The 21,426-nt window shown below is 50.7% G+C and overlaps 1 protein-coding gene and 1 long non-coding RNA gene across 4 annotated transcripts in view, besides 5 other annotated features; one reads left to right on the top strand and one right to left on the bottom strand.

The window, feature by feature from the left end:
• Positions 1–6,078, bottom strand: part of LOC105370034 (uncharacterized) — a 26,613-nt gene extending 20,535 nt beyond the window's left edge. The window contains exon 1 of one of the 2 annotated variants that reach the window (XR_945464.3): positions 5,847–6,078. This is a non-coding gene — a long non-coding RNA (uncharacterized LOC105370034). The remainder of the gene's footprint in view (positions 1–5,846) is intronic. The other variant, XR_001749356.2, reaches the window with a different exon arrangement.
• Positions 1–21,426, top strand: part of MORN3 (MORN repeat containing 3) — a 23,903-nt gene extending 2,477 nt beyond the window's left edge. Inside the window, exons 2-7 of one of the 2 annotated variants that reach the window (NM_001363685.2) lie at positions 656–829; positions 10,820–10,977; positions 15,735–15,894; positions 16,909–17,093; positions 17,360–17,440; positions 18,524–21,426. In NM_001363685.2, coding sequence (NP_001350614.1) covers positions 685–829; positions 10,820–10,977; positions 15,735–15,894; positions 16,909–17,093; positions 17,360–17,434 — 723 coding nt within the window. In that variant the 5' untranslated portion in view covers positions 656–684 and the 3' untranslated portion in view covers positions 17,435–17,440; positions 18,524–21,426. Of the gene's footprint in view, positions 1–513; positions 830–10,819; positions 10,978–15,734; positions 15,895–16,908; positions 17,094–17,359; positions 17,441–18,523 lie in introns of those variants that run through there. The other variant, NM_173855.5, reaches the window with a different exon arrangement.
• Positions 5,675–6,214: an enhancer, noted in NCBI's record as "H3K27ac-H3K4me1 hESC enhancer chr12:122101860-122102399 (GRCh37/hg19 assembly coordinates)". NCBI's record gives its function as "activates a minimal SCP1, AML or CMV promoter by ChIP-STARR-seq in primed H9 embryonic stem cells {active_cell/tissue: H9 hESC(primed)}" and the evidence as "EXISTENCE:reporter gene assay evidence [ECO:0000049][PMID:30033119]".
• Positions 5,692–5,961: an enhancer, noted in NCBI's record as "active region_7179". NCBI's record gives its function as "activates an Ori minimal core promoter by ATAC-STARR-seq in GM12878 lymphoblastoid cells {active_cell/tissue: GM12878}" and the evidence as "EXISTENCE:reporter gene assay evidence [ECO:0000049][PMID:35858748]".
• Positions 6,132–6,181: a silencer, noted in NCBI's record as "silent region_4982". NCBI's record gives its function as "represses an Ori minimal core promoter by ATAC-STARR-seq in GM12878 lymphoblastoid cells {active_cell/tissue: GM12878}" and the evidence as "EXISTENCE:reporter gene assay evidence [ECO:0000049][PMID:35858748]".
• Positions 18,094–18,593: an enhancer, noted in NCBI's record as "H3K4me1 hESC enhancer chr12:122089481-122089980 (GRCh37/hg19 assembly coordinates)". NCBI's record gives its function as "activates a minimal SCP1, AML or CMV promoter by ChIP-STARR-seq in naive H9 embryonic stem cells {active_cell/tissue: H9 hESC(naive)}" and the evidence as "EXISTENCE:reporter gene assay evidence [ECO:0000049][PMID:30033119]".
• Positions 18,594–19,095: an enhancer, noted in NCBI's record as "H3K4me1 hESC enhancer chr12:122088979-122089480 (GRCh37/hg19 assembly coordinates)". NCBI's record gives its function as "activates a minimal SCP1, AML or CMV promoter by ChIP-STARR-seq in naive H9 embryonic stem cells {active_cell/tissue: H9 hESC(naive)}" and the evidence as "EXISTENCE:reporter gene assay evidence [ECO:0000049][PMID:30033119]".

Genomic DNA, 21,426 nt, shown 5'->3' with positions numbered 1-21,426 from the left:
CTCAGTGGCTCATGCCTGTAATCCCAGCACTTGGAGAGGCTGAGGTGGATGGATCATTTGAGATCAGGAAATTGAGACCAACCTGCCCAGCATGGTGAAACCCCCGTCTCTACTAAAAATACAAAAATTAGCCAGGCGTGGTGGTGGGCGCCTGTAATACCAGCTACTTAGGAGGCTGAGGCACGAGAATCACTTGAACCCAGGAGGCAGAGGTTGTAGTAAGCCGAGATGGTGCCACTGCACTCCAGCCTGGGCAACAAAGCAAGATTCCATCTCTAAATAAATAAATAAATACATAAATAAATAAAAATATTTAGAAGACATAAAAAAAAAAATATATATATATATATATATGTATATATGACCGCCACCCCCTCCCTGGGGGCAGCTTCTCCCTGATGCCATCACAAACCCTCCTGCTCTACTGGTTTCCCTAGATTCCCAAGTAATTGTGCCATCAGACCCCCTGGGAGGGGGCCCCAGGAGAGGCAAGGGAGGGGCCAACCAAAGGTCAGTCCAGCACTAAAGGATCCCCACTAAGGGCTGTTCACCTGCCCCAGGGACTCAGAACACACATGACTCTCCCCACTTGAGCTCAGGATCCCGGCATTACACGGGGCGCGCTGAGCCCCAGATGTCCCTAACCCCTTTCCAGCACCCTCCAGCCTTGCAGAAGCAGCCACCATGCCAGTCTCTAAGTGCCCAAAAAAGTCGGAGTCCCTGTGGAAGGGGTGGGACCGGAAGGCCCAGAGGAACGGCCTGCGGAGCCAGGTATACGCTGTGAATGGCGACTACTATGTGGGCGAGTGGAAGGACAACGTGAAACACGGTGAGTGGGACTCCGGGACGGGCGGCCGGAGTGGGGTCAGAGCCACAGTGGGCAACAGGGCCAGGAAGGCAGAGTGCAGAGCTCACTGGGGACATGAGATGTGTCCCCAAGGCTCCCCCAGGGTGAGCGCTGGCCCAGGCCAGCTGGGGGCCTTCACATGCTGGGGCTTCTGAACAAACTCAGCCCTGACTTCAACTGAGTGAGGGTCTCAGGACCAGCAGTGGACAGAGGGTCTTGAGAAACTGGCCTGCCCCCGGGGCTCTGGGACCTAGGGGGCTCAGTTCCTGCCTTCTGAGACCTGGGTTAAGCACTGGGCTGGCTGGCAACAAGAAAAGCCACGCCCCTGAAGCCAGCTTGCAGTGGGGTTCTGGGCTTCGCATTCAGCTGTGATGCTCTGCAGAGGGCTGAGCGCCAGGCACAAGGGAGGACCCCCTACTCCATCCCACAAGGAGGAGCTGGGGCTCCAAGTCTGACCAGCAGGGGGCAAAGGGGTCCTGTTGATACAAACTAAATCCTGACTGGGGAAAAAAATAAAGAAAAAAGAGCTTTTATTTTAAAATGTGGCACTGCTGCTCACTCCAGTCTTGCAATTCCAGACTCTGTACTCTTTTTTTTTGAGGGGACAAGGTCTTGCTCTGTCTCAAAAAAACAGGCTGGAGTGCAGTGGTGCCTTCATAGCTCACTGCAGCCTCGAGATCCTGGGCTCAAGCAATCCTCCTGTCCAAGCCTCCTGAATTGCTGGGATTACAAGTGGGAGTCACTGTGCCTGGCTAGATTCTGTGCTCTTTTTATTTTTTTAGACGGAGTTTCACTCTTGTTGCCCACGCTGGAGTGCAATGGCACGATCTTGGCTCACCGCAACCTCTACCTCCCGAGTTCAGGCGATTCTCCTGCCTCAGCCTCCAGAGTAGCTGGGATTACAGGCATGTGCCACCACGCCTGGCTACTTTTGTATTTTTAGTAAGACGGGGTTTCTCCGTGTTGGTCAGGCTGGTCTTGAACTCCCGACCTCGAGTGATCCGCCCGCCTCGGCCTCCCAAAGTGCTGGGATTACAGGCGTTTAGCCACTGCGCCCAGCCCAATTCTGTGCTCTTAACCATCCTGCTCTCCTGCCTTGCTGGGTTAAGTGCTTTGCAGTCAAATAAACCTGGGTTAGGATCCCAGTTCCAGGCTGGGTGTGGTGGCTCACATCTGTAATCCCAGCACTTTGGGAGGCCGAGGCAGGCAGATCACCTGAGGTCAGGAGTTCAAGACCACCTTGGCCAATATGGTGAAATCCCATCTCTACTAAAAAAATACAAAAATGGGCCAGGTGGGGCTGGGCGTGGTGGATCACGCCTGTAATCCCAGCACTTTGGGAAGCCGAGGCGGGCGGATCATGAGGTCAGGAGATTGAGACCATCCTGGCTAACACAGTGAAACCCTGTCTCTACTAAAAATACAAAAAATTAGCTGGCTGTGGTAGTGGGCGCCTGTAGTCCCAGCTACTCGGGAGGCTGAGGCAGGAGAATGGCGTGAACCCAGGAGGCGGAGCTTGCAGTGAACCGAGATCTCGCCACTGCACTCCAGCCTGGGCGACAGAGCAAGACTCCGTCTCCAAAAAAAAAAGAAAAAAAAAAAGACTTGGAGGAGAGGGAGTAACTGAGTGGATGTTTGCAGGAACTAGCATAGAAGGTGGCAGGACCAGCTGGAGCAGAGAATATACCTGGGGTGTTCAAGGAACAGCCAGGAGGACGGTGTGGGTGAAACAGAGTGAGGAAGAGGAGGAGGTCAGAGAGGTTGCAGGCCGGGGACAGTGGCTCACACCTGTAATCCCAGCACTTTGAGAGGCCGAGGCAGGCAGATCACTTGAGGTCAGGAGTTCAACACCAGGCTGGCCAACATGGCAAAACCCCATCTCTACTAAAAATACAAAAAATTAGCTGGATCGAGTGGTGAACGCCTGTAATCCCAGCCACTAGGGAGGCTGAGGCAGGAGAATTGCTTGAACCCAGGAGGTGGAGGTTACAGTGAGCCAATATCATGCCACTGCACTCCAGCCTGGGTGCCAGAGCAAGACTCTGCCTCAAGATAAACAGTCCTGGCGCGGTCGCTTATGCCTGAAATCCCAGCACTTTGGGAGGCCGAGACAGGCATATCGCCTGAGGTCAGGAGTTCGAGACCAGCCTAGCCAACATGGTGAAACTCCGTCTCTACTAAAAATACAAAAATTAGACCAGACATGATGGCAGGCACCTGTAATCCCAGCTACTTGGGAGGCTGAGATAAGAGAATTGCTTGAACCTGGGAGGAGGAGGTTACAGTGAGCTGAGATTGCGCCATTGCACTCCAGCCAGGGAGTTTCCAAGAACGAATCTCCATCTCAAAAAAAAAAAAAAAAAAAAAAGAGGTTGTGGGTTAAAGAAGAAGGGTAGTCAGATCATATAGGACCCTGTCAGCCATGGTAAGAACTTTGGATTTGACTCTGTGACACAGGGAGGGTTTAGAGCATAGGAATGACATGATCTGATTCATGTCCCATAACACCCATGCTGGCTATTTAGTTGTGAATGAGGTGGGGGCAGGAAGACCCCTCAGAGGCCCTTGCAGACATCCAGGTGAGAGACATCCAGCAGGAGAACGAAGCACCCCATAAAAGCAAATTATTAGAAAGGCAGGAATGGAGCCATCCTCAGGGAAGGCTTAGGACAACTTCTCCATCTATCTGCTTCTCCCTGGCTGGCCTTTTTTCTCTCCTCCTGCAAGTATACCTCTGCATGATACACATGGCTGCCAGCATCTTAGTGACAGGATGGAGGAATCCTCTTCACTTCCTGATATAGTTTTGTCTTGTTTGAGACAGAGTTGTGCTCTGTCGCCCAGGATGGAGTGCAGTGCTGCGATCTCGGCTCACTGAAACCTCCACTTCCCAGGTTCAAGTGATTCTTGTACCTCAGCCTCCCAAGTAGCTGGGACTAAAGGCACACACCACCACGCCCAGCCAATTTTTGTATTTTCTGGTAGAGATGGGGATTCACTTGCCAGGTGCGGTAGCTCACGCCTGTAATCCCAGCTCTCAGGGAGGCAGAGGTGGGAGATAGCTTGAGCCCAGGAGTTCAAGGCCTGCTTGGGCAATATAGCGAGACCCCGTTCTCCACAAAAAGGAAGAAAAAAAAAGACAAATAAATAAATAAGTGAGACACGGATTCACCATGTTGGCCAGGCTGGTTTCGAATTCCTGACCTCAAGTGATCTGCCCACCTTGGCCTCCCAAAGTTCTGGGATTACAAGTGTGAGCCATCATGCCCAGCCTTTTCCCCTTATTTTCCTACTTGATAAGTTTTGGTTTGCCTCACTGTGTCCTGTGCAGACTCTCAGCTCTTCCATCCCCTGTATTAAATTTTCTCTATTTGAAATAACTAGCATTTCAAACTGTCCTAGGGTCTTCAGTGTTCCGACAACCAGCATCACTGCACTGCAGAAGACAGTGCAGTATGGTTTCTGTTGGGTCGTCTGGACCCCGAACCCTCAACTGATTCAGTCACCCAAACAGTAGCAGAAAATGCCAGGTCTTTTTTTTTTTTTTTTTTTTTTTGAGACAGAGTCTCATTCTGTCGCCCAGGCTGGAGTGCAATGGTGTGATCTCGGCTCACTGCAACTTCTGCCTCCCAGGTTCAAGCGATTATCCTGCCTCAGCCTCCTGAGTAGCTGGGATTACAGATGCACGCCACCAAGCCCAGCTAATTTTTGTATTTTCAGTAGAGACGAGGTTTCACCATGTTGGTTAGCTGGCCTCGAACTCCTGACCTCGTGATCCGCCCGCCTCAGCCTGCCAAAGTGCCGGGATTACAGGCGTGAGCCACCGCGCCCGGCCAAGACCTCGCGTTTTCTAATCCAAAAAATTAGCCGGGCGTGGTGGCGGGCGCCTGTAGTCCCAGCTACTGAGGAGGCTGAGGCAGGAGAATGGCGTGAACCTGGGAGGCGGAGCTTGCAGTGAGCCGAGATCGCGCCAGTGCACTCCAGCCTGGGCGACAGAGCGAGACACCGTCTCAAAAAAAAAAAAAAAAAAAAAAAAAAAAAAGGAAAGAAAAAGAAAACGCGAGATCTTAAAACCAGGTCTCAGGACTCCTATACGAGGTACTCCAGTACTGTTAGGCTAGGGACTTTCCCCAGCACAGGCCATATACTGTGCGTATCAACCCCTAACTCGACTGTTGGATGCCTCCTGCTCTCACTCTTCACCTTCTTCTAATAACAGGCCCCTGCTACCTTGGTCACAGAAATGAGCACGTAATCCAACTGGGCAAATCAAAAAATTGAGATGAGATTTTTCAAAATGGACTAGCAGAGAAAAAGCACCTTTCCCCTCTAATTCCCAGCCTATTGATTCCCATGTGTCTCCTGCATTTGCCTGCGGTAGGAGAGACTGAAGCCACCCACGGAAGGCATAGTCATGAGCATCCATCAGTGTCTTTTTTTTTTTTTTTTTGGTAGGGGCTACAAAAAAAAAAAAAAAAACAGGTTGTTTTCGCCTGTCCTGCCCCTCACTTCCTCCCGGTTTTATTTCCTTTAGGGACACCCCTCTCCCACTCTAAATCCCCAAGGTTCGGGTGGGCTGACTCCGCCCCCCTAGCAGGCCTAGCCAATCAATGTATTGGCTAGCCAATCACTCTGTTGCTCCTGGGTTCAAGCGATTCTCCTGCCTCCCAAGTAGCTGTGATTACAGGCACCTGCTACCATGCCCGGTTAATTTTTGTATCTTCAGTAGAGACGAGATTTCGCCATGTTGGCCAGGCTGGTCTCGAACTCCCGACCTCAAGTGATCCGCCCGCCTTGGCCTCCCAAAGTGCTGCGATTACAGGCGTGAGCCACCTCGCCCGGCTGCAACCATCATTTTCAAACCTCTTTGCCTTTACTCATGCAGTTCCCTGTGCCTGGACTGCCCTTCCTGGCCCCAACGTCACCCCCTCCAGGAAGTCTCTGAGTCCCCAGATTTGACCAAGTGCCCTTCTTCTGATATTGAAATCTCAGTGCCTACCTTCGTATATTGAAATTGAACTATGTGGGTATTCATCAGGCCTCTTTCATTTGCAAGAGGCAGAAATTCAACTCAGGAGGGCTTCAGTAATGCAAGTTCAGCCATGGTGGGATTCAGGGGCTTAATGTCACTGGAACTTGGCGTCTCCCTCCATGTCTCCATTTTGCTTTCCTCTGCGTTGAGTTCCTTCTTAAGTCAGCTTCCTCCCCTTGCAGGCCCGGGTGGGTGTGGTGGCCCAAATGGACTTACACGGAGTCTCATTGGACCAACTTGGGTCAGGTGGCCTGCACTGACCCAATCACAGCAGCCTGGTGGGTAGAATACACTGATTGGGTAGGCCTGCCAGGGGGCGGAGTCAGCCACCCAAACCTTGGGGGTTTAGAGTGGGAGAGTGGTGTCCCCAAAGGAAATAAAACCAGGAGGAAGTGAGGGGCAGGACAAACGCAAACAACCCAACAGCCCCTACAATGTGGTTGGGCCCTACCAGACCATGGGCTCCCCAAGGGCAAAAATAATAACAAAGGCTCCCATGATTTGAGAGAGGAAAAAAAAAATAAAAAAATAAAAAAAACCAATAAAGGCTAACATTGACATCGTATTTCCTACTTGTAGGCTCTAAGTGCTGTACACATATCCTGGAATCTAGTGATAAGAAACAACCCCATGAGATACTGTTTTTCTTTTCAGAAAATTAGAATGGTCCCGTAATTGCTCACAAATTGAATCTTTTCTCCCTCGGCTTTATTGCGGTATGATTGACAAAGAAAAATTGTATATACTTAAGATGTGTAGTAAGATATTTTCTTAAAAGTCTACATTTCGAAGGCCGGACGCAGTGGCTTACGCCTGTAATCCCAGCACTTTGGGAGGCTGAGATGGGTGGATCTCCTGAGGTCGTGAGTTGGAGACCAGCCTGGCCAACATGGGGAAACACCGTCTCTACTAAAAATACAAAATTAGCCAAACGTGGTGGCGCATGCCTGTAATCCCAGCTACTCAGGAGGCTGAGACAGGAGAATCGCTTGAACCCAGGAGGCGGAGGTTGCAGTGAGCCGAGATTGCACCGTTGCACTCCAGCCTGAGCAACAAGAATGAAACTCTGTCTCAAAAAAAAAAAAAAAAGTCTACATTTCGAAATTATTAGTACAATCAAAGTAATTAGCATATCCATCTCCTCACATTATTACCATTTTGTTTGTGTGTGGGGAGAACAATTAAGATCTATTCTCTTAGCAAATTTCAAGTACAGTATCCAATACACCAATACAGTATTAATATAGAACGATGCTGTACACCAGGTCTCCAGATCTTTGTTTTTGTTTTGTTTTGTCTTTTTGAGACGGAGTCCCGCTCTGTTGCCAGGCTGGAGGGCGGTGGTGCGATCTTGGATCACTGCAACCTCTGCCACCCGGGTTCAAATGATTCTCTTGCCTCCAACCTCCCAAGTAGCTGGGACTTTCACTATGTTGGCCAGGCTGTTCTTGAACTCCTGACCTCAGGTGATCTGCCCGCTTCAGCCTTCTAAAGTACTGAGATTACAGGTGTGAGCCATCATGCCCGGCGTTTTTTTTTTTTTTCAGTCTCACTCTTGCCCAGCCTGAAGTGCAGTGTTGCGATCTCGGCTCACTACAACCTCCGCCTCCTGGTTCAAGAGATTCTCCAGCCTTAGCCTCCCCAGTAGCTAGAATTACAGGTGCTCACCACCATGCCCAGCTAATTTTTGTATTTTTAGTAGAGACGGGGTTTCACCATGTTGGCCAGGATGGTCTCGATCTCCTGACCTCATCATCCGCCTGCCTCGGCCTCCCAAAGTGCTGGGATTACAGACACGAGCCACCGCACCCGACCTGTTTGTTTTGAGACAGTCTCGCTCTGTCGTCCAGGCTGGAGTGCAGTGGCGCAATCTCACTCACTGCAACCTCTGCCTCTGACGTTCAAGCAATTCTCCTACCTCAACCTACTGAGTAGCTGGGATTATAGGCATGCGCCACCACACCAGGCTAATTTGTGTATATTTAGTAGAGACAGGGCTTAACCATGTTGCCCAGGCTAGTCTTGAACTTCTAGCCTCAAGTGATTTACCTGCCTCAGCCTCCCAAATTGCTGGGATTATAGGAGTGAGCCACTGTGCCCAGCCTTAGGTCTCCAAATCTTGTACATCTTGTAACAAAAAGTATGCACCCTTTGACAGAACATCTCCACATTTTCCCCACCCCACCAGCCCCTGCTAATTGCTATTTTACTGTTTCTATGAGTTTGACTTTTTAGATTCCACATATAAGTAAAATCATGCAGTATTTGTCTTTCTCTGCTTGGCTTATTTCACTTGGCATAATGTCCTCCAGATTCATCCATGTTGTCACAAATGGCACGTTTTCTTTCTTTCTTCCCTTCCTTCCTTCCTCCCTTCCTCCCTTCCTCCCTCCCTCTCTCCTTCTCTTTCTTTCTTTCACAGTCTCACTCTGTCGCCCAAGCTGGAGTGCAGTGGCGCCATCTCAGCTCACTGCAACCTCCACCTCCCAGATTCAAGTGATTCTCCTACCTCAGCCTCCAGAGTAGCTGGGATTACAGGCAAGCACCACCACGCCCAGCTAATTTTTGTATTTTTAGTAGAGACCAGGTTTCACTATGTTGGCCAGGCTGGTCTCAAACTCCTGACCTCAAGTGATCAGCGCGCCTCGGCCTCCCAAACTGCTGGGTTACAGGCGTGAGCCACTGCGCCCAGCCCCCCCATAAGATATTCTTATACCCATTTTACAGCTGAGATATCTGAGGCTCAGAGAGACCCAAAGAATTAACTTACTTGGTCAAGGTCACAAAGCTCAGAGGGATAATGTTGAATTTGTTCCTGGGTTACCAAGGACCCAGACATGAATTGACCAATATTGGTACTCCACAAATATTTTATTCATCGTTTTGTTAAATATGTATTAAGCTCGGTGTACTGGTGTGTGCTTGTATTCCCAGCTCGTCGAGAGGCTGAGAAGGGAGAATCTCTTTAGCTCAAGAGTTCAAGACCAGCCTGGGTAACATAGCAAGACCCCATCTCTAAAAAGAAAGAAATGCCTGGTGTGGTGCCTCATGCCTGTAATCCCAATACTTTGGGAAGCCTAGGCAGGAGGACTGCTTGAGCCCAGTAGTTTGAGACCAGCCTGGGCAACATAGAGAGACTCTGCCTCTATAAAATTTTTTTAAAAAATTAGCCAGGTGTAGTGGCATGCACCTGTGGTCTCAGCTACTCAGGAGGCTGAGGCAGAAGGATCATTTGAGCCTGGGTGGTTGAGGCTGCAGCGAGCTGTGTACGTCAGCATAGCCAACACAGCCAGATCCTGTCTAAAAAAAAGAAAGAAAAAGGCCAGGCGCGGTGGCTCACGCCTGTAATCCTAGCACTTTGGGAAGCCGAGGCGGACAGATCACCTAAGGTCGGGAGTTCGAGACCAGCCTGACCAACATGGAGAGACCCCCGTCTCTACTGAAAATACAAAATTAGCCAGGCGTGCTGGTGCATTCCTGTAATCCCAGCTACTTGGGGGGATGAGGTGGAAGAATTGCTTGTACCTGAGAGGTGGAAGTTGCAGTGAGCCGAGATCGTGCCATTGCACTCCAGCCCAGGCAACGATAGCAAAACTCCGTCTTAAAAAAAAAAAAAAAGAAAGAAAGAAAGAAAAAAAAAGGCCGGGTGCGGTGGCTCATGCCTGCAATCCCAGTATTATGGGTGGCCAAGGCAGACGGATCACGATGTCAGGAGTTAGAGACCAGCCTGGCCAATATGGTAAAACCCCGTCTCTACTAAAAATACAAAAATTAGCTGGGCATGGTGGCGGGCACCTGTAATTCTAGCTACTGGGGTGGCTAAGGCAGGAGAATCTCTTGAACCAGGAGGCGGAGGTTGCAGTGAGCCGAGATCGCAACACTGCACTTCAGCCTGGGCAACACAGCAAGACTCTGTCTCAAAAAAAAAAAAAAGAAAGAAAGAAAGAAAAAAAAAGAGAAAACAGTAAATTAGCAGGTATTAGTCACCTACAACATGCCAGGAACAGTTTGTTTGTTTGTTTGTTTGATTTTGAGATGGAGTTTCGCTCGTCTCCCAGGCTGGAGTGCAATGACGTCATCTCGGCTCACTGCAACGACGTCATCTCGGCTCACTGCAACCCACGCCTCCCAGGTTCAAGAGATTCTCATGCCTCAGCTTCCTGAGTAGCTGGGATTACAGGCGCCTGCCACCACGCCTGGCTAATTTTTGTATTTTTAGTAGACACAGGGTTTCGCCATTTTGGTCAGGCTGGTCTCGAACTCCTGACCTCAGGTGATCCACCCGCCTCAGCCTCCCAAAGTGCTGGGATTACAGGCTCGAGCCACTGCACCCAGCCTCCAGGCACAGTTTTTCAGTGCAGGGAACAAAACAGACCAAAGTCTGTGCCCTCCTGCAGCTCACATTCTCCTGGAAAAGACAGGCATGCGACACTAATCAACAAATAAGAGAATTACCTCTGGCCGGACGCAGTGGCTCACGCCTGTAATCCCAGCACTTTGGGAGACCGAGGTGGGCATATCACTTGAGGTCAGGAGTTTCAGACCTGCCTGGCCAACATGGAACCCCATCTTTACTAAAACACAAAATTAGCTAAGTGTGTTGGCGCACACCTGTAGTCCTAGCTACTCTGGAGGCTGAGGCAGGAGTATCTCCTGAACCCGGGAGGCAGAGGTTGCAGTGAGCTGAGATCGCGCCACTGCACTCCAGCCTGGGCGACAGAGTGAGACACTGCCTCAAAAAAAAAAAAGAAAGAAAGAAAGAAAGAAAGAAATGGAACTTTCCTGGCCTTCTCCTGGGTACTTGGTGTCTAGGATGATGCGCAGAGCCTGTCCCAGCTCTCTAGATTCGTCTAGTTGGGGGCCCCTGAGGCTCAGGCAGGCACACCACCCCCACCCCCCGGCGGCCATGTCTGCAGCATTGCCCATCTGTGTGTCACCAGGGAAAGGAACACAGGTCTGGAAGAAGAAAGGAGCCATCTATGAGGGGGACTGGAAGTTTGGGAAGCGAGACGGCTACGGCACCCTCAGCCTTCCTGACCAACAGACAGGAAAGTGCAGGAGAGTCTACTCAGGCTGGTGGAAAGGTGATAAGAAATCGGTGAGCAGGCCTGCCAGCCGGGGTGTGTGTGTGTGTGTGTGTGTGTGTGTGTGCGCGCGTGTGTGTTTAGGGGAAGCCGAGAGAGGCCTGGGAGAAAAGAGAGGGGAGGTCTACAGGGAGGAGGACAGGGTTGTGCTGCTCGTGGGAGAAGGAAGGGGTGGGGGAATTGCAAAGTTTCTCAGAACAAAACCCAGGAAACAGGAAGCAACAGAAGGCCAGGGAGGAGCCCACGAAACCCTGCGGTTGCGAGGAGCCAGCCAGGCTTGTGGGGACGAAGTCGCCTCCACCCTTTTCCCCCTCGTTTCCTGGCTTTCTTTTCCCCAGGTATCACTTTCTGAGAATCCCCTTTCTGCTGGGCCTGAATAAAAGGGAGGTAGGAAAAGTGGGAGCAAGAGAGCAGGGGACAGGAGAGGAGGGTCCCGGGGGGCCGAAGCCAGCCAGAGGCGCGTGCTCAGCCCGGAAACACCCAAGCTGGGCACAGGTTCCCTCCATCTACTCCCACAAGTGTGGAGGAATCCTCACCATCAGTCCCAGAGACACTAATAATAAACAGTATTGCAACTGAGCAACTGCTACTGTGAGCCTGAAACACATATTTAAAACTTTTTTTTTTTTTTTTTTTTTTGAGAGGGAGTCTCATCCTGCCGCCCAGGCTGGAGTGCAGTGGCGCCATCTTGGCTCACTGCGAGCTCCGCCTCCCGGGTTCACGCCATTCTCCTGCCTCAGCTTCCCAGGTTGCTGGGACTACAGGCGCCCGCCACCACGCCCGGCTAATTTTTTGTATTTTCAGTAAAGACGGGGTTTCACCGTGTTAGCCAGGATGGTCTCCATCCCCTGACCTCGTGATCCGCCCGCCTCGGCCTTCCAAAGTGCTGGGATTACAGGCGTGAGCCACCGCGCCCGGCCTGAAACACATTTAATATTCAGTTAACTCTCACAGCAACAGCTCATCATCATCATCATCTTCATGCCCATTTTATTGATAAGCAAACAAGCTCGAAGAGATGAGGTGTCTTGTAACTGCCCAAGGGGTTCACCTTGCCGGTGCCTGGCCTTGAGTTGTATTATTACTCAAATCAGTCTCCCCGAACATTCCAGCAGCAGAGTTTTTAAGGATAACTTGGTGGGTGGGGGAAAGACAGTGAACCAGGAGTGCTGATTGGTCAGAGATAAAATCATAGGGAGTCAAAGCTGTCTTCTTGCTCCCCAGACAGAGCCGATTCATCAAGACGGGAATTGCAATAGAGAAAGAGTAATTAACACAGAACTGGCTGTGTGGGAGACCTGAGTTTTATTATTATTATTATTAATTTATTTATTTTTTGAGATGGAGTTTCGCTCTTGTCGCCACGCTGGAGTGCAATGGTGTGATCTCGGCTCACCGCAACCTCCGCCTCCTGGGTTCAAGCGATTCTCCTGCCTCAGTCTCCCGAGTAGCTGGGATTACAGGCATGTGGTACCACACACTGCTAATTTTGTATTTTTAGTAGAGACAGAGTTTCTCCATATTGGCCAGGCTGGTCTCGAACTCCCGACCTCAGGTGATCCGCCAGCCTGGGCCTCCCAAAGTGCTAAGATTACGGGCATGAGCCACCGCGCCTGGCCCTGGGTTGTATTATTACTCAAATCAGTCTCCCGGAACATTCTGGCTGCAGAGTTTTTAAGGATAACTTGGTGGGTGGGGGAAAGAGTAAGCCAGGCGTGCTGATTGGTCAGAGATAAAATCACAGGGAGTCAAAGCTGTCTTCTTGCCCTGAGTCAGTTCCTAGGTGGGGAGCCACAAGATCACATAAATCAGTTTATTGATTTGGGTAGTGCCAGCTGATCCATCAAGTGCAAGGTCTGCAAAATATCTTAAGCATTGATCTTAGGAGCAGTTTAGTGAGGATCAGAATCTTGTAGCTTCCAGCTGCATGACTCCTAAACCATAATTTATAATCTTGTAGCTAATGTTAATCCTACAAAGGCAATCTAGTCCCCAGGCAAGAAGGAGGTCTTCGGGAAAGGGCTGTTACTGTCTTTGTTTAAACTATAAACTATAAGTTTCTCCCAAAGTTAGTTCAGCTTAAGCCCAGGAATGGACATGGACAGCTTAGAGGTTAGAAGCAAGATGGAGTCAGTTAAATTAAATCTCTTTCACTGTCTCAGTCATAATTTTGCAAAGGCAGTTTCAGTCTTGCCTGGAGTCACACAGCTAGCAAGTGGTAGAGCCCAGGGTTTCATGTTCTCTGCTCCCAAATTGTTTATTGGCAAGTAGGAAGAGAAAGCCCTGAATAACCAATTTACGTAGAATATGGTATTAGGAGGGATGTTTTCACAGGGTGCCCAGAGGAAGGTCATCAAGCCCAGCCTAGAGAATTCAGGACAGAAGGCTAAGCACAATGGCTCACGCCTGTAATCCCAGCAATTTGGGAGGCAGACAGGGGTGTATCACTTGAGGTCAGGAGTTCGAGACTAGCCTGGCCAACATGGTGAAACCCCCGTCTCTACTAAATAAAAAACACAAAAAAAATTAGCCGGGCATAGTGGTGTGTACCTGTAGTCCCAGCTAGGGAGACGGAGACATTAGAATCGCTTGAAGCCAGGAGGCAGAGGTGGCAGTGAACCGAGATCACGCCACTGCACTTCAGCCTGGGCAACAGAGTGAGACTCCATCTCAAAATAAATAAATAAATAAATAAAACTATATAATAATAATAATTAGCTAGATGTTGTGGTGCACATCTGTAGTCCCAACTTTTCAAAAGGCTGAGGCAGGAGGATTGCTTGATCTCAGGAGGCTGAGGTTATAGTGAGCTATGGTGGTGCCACTACACTCCAGCCTGGACAACAGAGCAAGACTTGTCTCAAAAAGAGGGAATTCAGGGCAGGCTTCCTGTAGGAGGTGACACTAAAAGATGCTAGGAGTTAGCCAGGAAGAAAAAAAAGGGAGAAAGATGGGAGGCAAAAAAATAGCAAAGGGAACGAGATGTAAAACAGCAGAGTGTGTCTGCCCTGGGACAGGAGTGAGGAGAAGAGTTGCGGGGGCCCTCAGGGATATGTGGGAAATCAGGATTTTGAGGAGTAGACTTGGCTTCTCAACCCAACCTCCTCGGGTGTGATCTGCAAACAGACCTTGTTTCCCTGTGGTTGGACACTAAGTGTGGTGTTTTTTGTTTTTTGAGACGGAGTCTTTCTCTGTTGCCCAGGCTGGAGTACAGTGGCGCGATCTTGGCTCACTGCAAGCTCCGCCTCCTGGTTCACGGCCTTCTCCTGCCTCAGCCTCCCGAGTAGCTGGGACTACGGGCACCCACCACCACACCCAGCTAATTTTTTTGTATTTTTAGTAGAGACGGGTTTTCACCATGTTAGCCAGGATGGTCTCGATCTCCTGACCTTGTGATCCGCCTGCCTTGGCCTCCCAAAGTGCTGGGATTACAAGCGTGAGCCACAGCGCCCAGCCTAAGTGTGGTGTTTTTTGTTTGTTTGTTTGTTTGTTTTTTGAGACAGTCTTGCTCTGTTGCCCAGGTGGGAGTGCAATGGCACGATCTGGGCTCACTGCAACCTCCGACTCCTGGGTTCAAGCAATTCTTCTGCCTCAGCCTCCCAAGTAGCTAGTATTACAGGTGCCCACCACCACACTCAGCTAATTTTTTATATTTTTAATAGAGACAGGGTTTTGCCACGTTGGTCAGGCTGGTCTAAAACTCCTGACCTCAGGTGATCCATCTGCCTCGGCCTCCCAAAGTGCTGGGATTATAGGCGTAAGCCACCACGCCAGGCTAAGTATGGTGTTTATGTTCATTTTTCTGGGTCAAAATAAGAGTGGGAGGGGGGCGAGCATGATCAGATGGGCGATTTTTTTTTTTTTTGAGATAGCGTCTCACCCTGTCACCTAGGCTACCGTGCATTCTCAGCTCACTGCAACCTCCATCTCCCAGGTTCAAGTGATTCTCCTGCCTCAGCCTCCCCAGTAACTGGGATCACAGGCGCCGCCATCACGCCCAGCTAATTTTTTGTATTTTTGGTAGAGATGGGGTTTCACCATGTTGGCCAGGCTGGTCTCAAACTCCTGACCTCAAGTGATCCACCCACCTCAGCCTCCTAAAGTGAGCCGGTGAGCCACAGCGCCCAGCCTAGATGGGCGATTTAAAGAGTCCTCCGGCGCTGTAGGGGCTGCATGGCGCATGGTGTGGTGGGGATGAGAGAGGAGAGGGTGGGTCAGTAAGGAGGGAGTTTAATGACTGGCTGCATGGAGGCGCCAGCAGAGGGACAGAGAGAAACAGAGCATGGGGAGATCCTTCAAGACATTATCGGTGGGCACTATGGCTCACACCTGTAATCCCAGCACTTTGGGAGGCTGAGGCGGGCGGATCACTTGAAGTCAGGAGTTCAAGACCAGCCTGGCCAACATGGTGAAACCCTGTCTCTCCTAAAAATACAAAAATTAGCAGGGCGTGGTGATGCGTGTTTGTAATCCCAGCTTCTCGGGAGGCTGAGGCAGGAGAATCACTTGAACCCGGGGGACGGAGGTTACAGTGAGCCGAGATCACATCACTGCACTCCAGCCTGGGTGACAGAGTGGATCTCTGTCTAAAAACAAACAAACAAACAAAAAAGACAGGATACTCCGCTAAGACACGACCCTCCGCTTGGACGTAGGGCTGAGGAAGAAGGAAGAAGCTGGGGTGTGTGGCTCTAGGGGTGCCTGGGAAGACGGTGGGCTTTCCTGGTGGTGTTGGGGGGCGCCCTGAGTAGTAGCATCTTCGTACTTTCAGGGTTATGGGATCCAGTTTTTCGGACCCAAGGAGTATTATGAGGGTGACTGGTGTGGCAGCCAGCGCAGCGGGTGGGGCCGCATGTATTACAGCAACGGCGACATCTACGAGGGACAGTGGGAGAACGACAAGCCCAACGGGGAGGGCATGCTGCGCCTGAGTGAGTGCCCCACCCCCGCCGGCCCCGCCCACCCGACCACGCCCCCGGCAGCGAGCTGGCCACGCCCATTTGGTCCCACAGAGACAGGCCACACCCCACACTCTTGTCCCACACTGACCCTTGTGTCAATGTGGGACAAGAGAGGAAGAGCACCCTATCTCTCCCCTCAGTCACAAAAGGTCACATATATATGATGCTATTTATATGAAATTTTTAGGACACGCACCTCCACAGAGACAGAAAGTAGACTAATGGTTGCCTAGGACTATGGGGGTGGTGACATTAGTGGGTGTGGGGAATGGCTGCTTAATGGGCACAGGGTTTCCTTTTCGGGTGATTAAAACGTTTTGAAACTAGATAGAGGTAATGGTTGCACAGCATTGTGAATGTACTAAATGCCACTGAACTATACACTTCAAAATGGCCAACTTATGTTATATGAACTTATATCTCAATTTTTAAAAAAAAAGCCAGGCGCAGTGGCTCATGCCTGTAATCCCAGCACTTTGGGAGGCAGAGGCGGGCGGATCATGAGGTCAGGAGTTTGAGATCAGCCTGGCCAACGTGGAGAAACCCTGTCTCTACTAAAAATACAAAAAGTAGCTGCATGTGGTGGTATACACCTGTAATCCCAGCTACTCAGGAGGCTGAGGCAGGAGAATCACTTGAACTCGGGAGGCGGAGGTTGTCACTCAGGCTGGAGTGCTGTGGGGCAATCTCAGCTCACTGCAGCCTCAACTTCTTGAGCTCAAGCCATCCTCCCACCTCAGCCTCCAGAGTAGCTGGGACTATAGGTGCACACCACTATGCCCAGCTAATTAAAAAAATTTTTTTTTTTGCAGAGATGTGGTCTCACTATGTTGCTCAGGCTGGTCTTGATCTCCTGGGCTTATGAGCCTCCCATCTTGGCCTCCCAATGTGTTAGGATTTGCACTGAGCTCTGGAAGAGCGACCCCTGGGGGTCTAGCTTAGTTTGGTGTACCCTGCACCACACCTCCCTGTCCTTTCCCCCAGAGAACGGGAACCGCTACGAGGGCTGCTGGGAGAGAGGCATGAAGAACGGGGCGGGGCGTTTCTTCCATCTGGACCACGGCCAGCTGTTTGAAGGCTTCTGGGTGGACAATATGGCCAAATGCGGGACGATGATCGACTTTGGCCGTGACGAGGCCCCTGAGCCCACTCAGTTCCCCATTCCTGAGGTGGGCAGCCCTCACCAGGGCCCTGTGGCCACACCCAGACAGAGACAGAAGCCAGCATCCCCAGCCATGCCCAGGCCAGATCTGCCAGGCCCAGCCAAGCCCAGACAGGGAACAGACAAGGTTTTGTTTTCAGTCAGGGCATCCCTAGCAAGGGAGGTGGCTCCTGATGAGGCTGGCAGCACCCCACACGGCAGGCAGCGCCAGTCAAGGCTGGCAGCCTGGGTCCTCCATGCTCTCCAAACCAACTTCTTGGTATTTCCCTCCAGGTCAAAATCCTAGACCCTGATGGTGTGCTGGCGGAGGCCTTGGCCATGTTCAGGAAGACAGAGGAAGGAGATTGATGCCAGGTGAGGGGTGGGCACACCTGCCAAGTTCTGATGTGGCTGAGGCTGCTCCAGGGCCCAGAACAATGCACAGATCTCCTGGGGTCTCCAAAGGGCTTGGGGTCGGGGAGTGGGGGAGCAAGACCATCGAGGGCAGGCTTCTTGCCTCCTACAGTCCCAGGTGTCCTTTTTGACGCTTCCTCTTCAAAACCCCTTTTGACCGGCTGTGGTGGCTCTTGCCTTTAATCCCAGCACTTTGGGAGGCCAAGGCAGGCGGATAAGTTGAGGTCAGGAATTTGAGACCAGCCTGGCCAACATGGTGAAACCCCATCTCTACTAAAAATATAAAAGTTAGCCAGGTGTGGTGGCAGGCACCTGTAGTCCCAGCTACTCGAGAGGCTGAGGCAGGGGAATCACTTGAACCCGGGAGGTGAAGGTTGCAGTGAGCTGAGATTGCACCACTGCACTCCAGCCTGGGCGACAGAATGGGACTCTGTCTCAAAAAAAACAAAACTCGCCAGGCACAGTAATCCTATAATCCTGTAATCCCAGCACTTTGGGAGGCCGAGGTGGGTGGATCACGAGGTCAGGAGTTCAAGACTAGCTTGGCCAAGATGGTGAAACCCCATCTGTACTAAAAACACAAAAATTAGCTGGGCGTGGGGGAGGGCACCTGTAATTCCAGCTACTCAGGAGGCTGAGGCAGAGAATTGCTTGAACCTGGGAGGCAGAGGTTGCAGTGAGCTGAGACTGTGCCACTGCACTCCAGTCTGGGTGAGACTGTGTCTCAAAAAACAAACAAACAAACAAATAAACAAACAAACAAACCATTTCACTGAAGACCAGTGCATTCCAGTCCTGCCTGAAACCTTCTATTTGCACCCTGGGCCACACAACTGAGCTGGGCACGGGGTTGAAAGGAGGTGGTCTCCTGGCTTCTGAACACCCTTGAGTAAGGCAGTTGGCCTTCAGCCTCCATTTACACATCTGTCCAGTGGGGTCTTGTCCAGTCCAAGTCCTCCTGGGCATGATGTGAGGGTTTGAGGAGAGGACATTGGTAACAGCGTCTTTCAAATGCCAGCTCCACCATCCCTCTCTCCCCTGCAGAGAACACAAACGCTTCAGGAGAAATTCAAGCCTGTGTCACCCGATCGCTCAGACCAGTGCGGCTCTGGCTGGAGGAGTCAGCAGCAGCTCCAGGCATGACCCCGGCACCCTCATAGGGCCCCTCACTACCCCCAGCACTGGGTCATTTCTTGCCAATAGGAAGGCTGGTGCTTCTCTCCCAGGCTGTCCTCGGGACCCTCTTCATTCTCTGATCTCATCCTGGAATGCATGAGAATAAAGAATAACCAAGTGGTATAAGCCTGGGCCTATGGGATAAGGATGGGGCACTCGAGGGGGCTCAGCAGGGCTTTCAGGTTTAGAAGAGGGAAGACCTGCCTTGGCTGGGCTGCCTGGGTTTAGCTTGGGGGAGTAAGGGCAGGTCTTAGGCCGGGTGCAGTGGCTCATTCCTGTAATCCCAGAACTTGGGAGGCCAAGGTAAGAGGACTGCCTGAGGCCAGGAGTTCGAGACCAGCTTAGGCAACATAGCAAGACCCTGACTCTACAAAAAAAAATTTTAAAATATAAAAGAAAGGAAAAGAAAAAGAGAAAGAAATGGCAGGTCCCCTGTGAGATAACCCAGATGACCCAGAGAGAAGGCCTGTATCCTGCCACACTGGCTGCCAAGATTGGAGATCATAAAATTTCCTGACCACTTCTCAGCCTAACACAGGGCTCTCAACCTTGAAATCCCATGGAAACTTTGCAAAGCTGTGGAAGCCCAGGTCCCATGCCCAGAGATTCACAGGTTCACATCTAATTCATCTGGGGTGAGGCCTGAGCTTTCAGAAAATTCCCCAGGTGATTTTTTTTTTTTAAGACGTAGTCTCCCTCTATTGCCCAGGCTGGAATGCAGTGGCGCGATCTCAGCTCACTGCAACCTCTGCCTCCCATGTTCAAGCGATTCTCCTACCTCAGCCTCCTGAGTAGCTGGGATTACAGGCGCATGCCACTGAGCCCAGCTAATTTTTGTATTTTTAGTAGAGATGGGGTATCACCATGTTGGTCAGGCTGGTCTTGAACTCCTGACCTCGTGATCTGCCCCGCTCAGTCTCCTAAAGTGCTGGGATTACAGGTGTGAGCCATCGAGCCTGGCCTTTTTTTTTTTTTTTTTTTTTTTTTTGAGACAGAGTCTTGCTCTGTCACCCAGGCTGGAGTGCAGTGGCACAATCTCGGCTCACTGCAACCTCGCCTCCCTGGTTCAAGCGATTATCCTGCCTCAGCCTCCCAAGTAGCTGGGATTACAGGCACCTGCCACCAAGGCTAATTTTTTGTATTTTTAGTAGAGACAGGGTTTCACCATGTTGGCCAGGACGGTCTCGATCTCCTGACCTCGTGATCTGCCCGCCTTGGACTCCCAAAGTGCTGGGATTACAGGTGTGAGCCACTGCTCCCAGCCAAGATCAGATGTTCTTGCATAATGGGCAGGTGAGCTCTGGAGTCACAGTGCCTGGGCGTGAATCTCGGAGCTGTGTGTTCTCAGGAATGTCACCCAAACTCTGTTCTGTTGGTCTCCTCACTTGCAATATGGGGCATTAACAGTACTTACCACCTGGGGTTACTGTGGTTAGTTACTGTGAGGATGAGATAAGGCGGTGGTTTTAAACTGTGGGTAGGATTTTGTCCTCCCTCAGCCCCACTCTTTCTTGGGGACATTTGGCAATGTATGACATTTTTGATGTCACAACAGGCAGGAAGAAGGCTACTGGCATTGAGTGAGTAGAGACCAGGGATGCGGTTAAGCATAGTGCAATATCACCATGCTACAAAAAAAAAAAAAAAAAAGAATTCAGCACCTGTAATCCCAACTACTTGGGAGGCTGAGGCAGGAGAATTGCTTGAACCTGGGTGGCAGAGGTTGCAGTGAGCCGAGATTGCGCCATTGCACTCCAGCCTGGGCGACAGAGCGAGACACCATCTCCAAAAAAAAAAAAAAAAAAAATGTTGAGAAACCCTGAAATACCACGATTCTAGCTAAGACCTCAGCAAGAGGCACATAGCACATAGTAAAGCCTCAATAAACACCACTGACCTTACTGAGGTTCTCTCTGCCCCCTAAGTCATAAGTAGGGTGGCCTCACCAAGGGTGTGGTTCTCAGTCTGTACCTCTGGCACTGGGAAGCCCCGCCTGGCCACCCTAGGATGCAGAATTAATCATAACTTCCAGATATGGAGCACTCACTCTATTCCAGGCCGTGTGCTGACAGCTTCGCAGCAAGCATTCTCTCCTGGCACTCCCCGACAACAGTGAGGTGTCTTGCTATTACTGCCATTTTAGAGGAGGAAACAGGTTCAGGGAGGATCACAAGTCATCAAGCTAGTACTGTGCTTAAACTTAGGTCTAGCTGTTCTTAATGTGCAGAAGAGTGTAAAGGGTTACCATTTTTAAAGAAAAAGTGGGGGCAGGGCATGGTGGCTCATGCCTGTAATCCTAGCACTTTGAGAGGCCGAGGCAGGCGGATCAAGAGGTCAGGAGTTCGAGACCAGCCTGACCAACATGGTGAAACCCTGTCTCTACTAAAAATACAAAAATTAGCTGGGTGTGGTGGAGTGCATCTATAATCCCAGCTACTCAGGAGGCTGAGGCAGGAGAATCACTTGAACCCAGGAGGCGGAGGTAGTGGTGAGCCAAGATCACGCCGAGCCGAGATCGTGCCGCTGCTCTCCAGCCTGGGCAACAGAGCGAGACTCCATCTCAAAAAAAAAAAAAATGTTGGAAGAGGGTGTGCTTGTTTATGTACAAAATGTCGCTAGATTTAAACACAATAAACTGGCAAAGATGGTTGTCTCTGGGGAGAATTGGGGACTTGGGAACAGGAGCTGAAGAACAACTTTTCAGTGTTGTGTTTGGAACCATGTGAATGTATTATGTATTCAAAATGTAAATAAAAATGAAGTTAAAGAGA

Source organism: Homo sapiens, chromosome 12 (genome assembly GCF_000001405.40).
Source record: "Homo sapiens chromosome 12, GRCh38.p14 Primary Assembly".
NCBI classification, from domain to species: Eukaryota; Metazoa; Chordata; class Mammalia; order Primates; family Hominidae; genus Homo; species Homo sapiens.
This window is presented reverse-complemented; position numbering and strand designations above follow the sequence as displayed.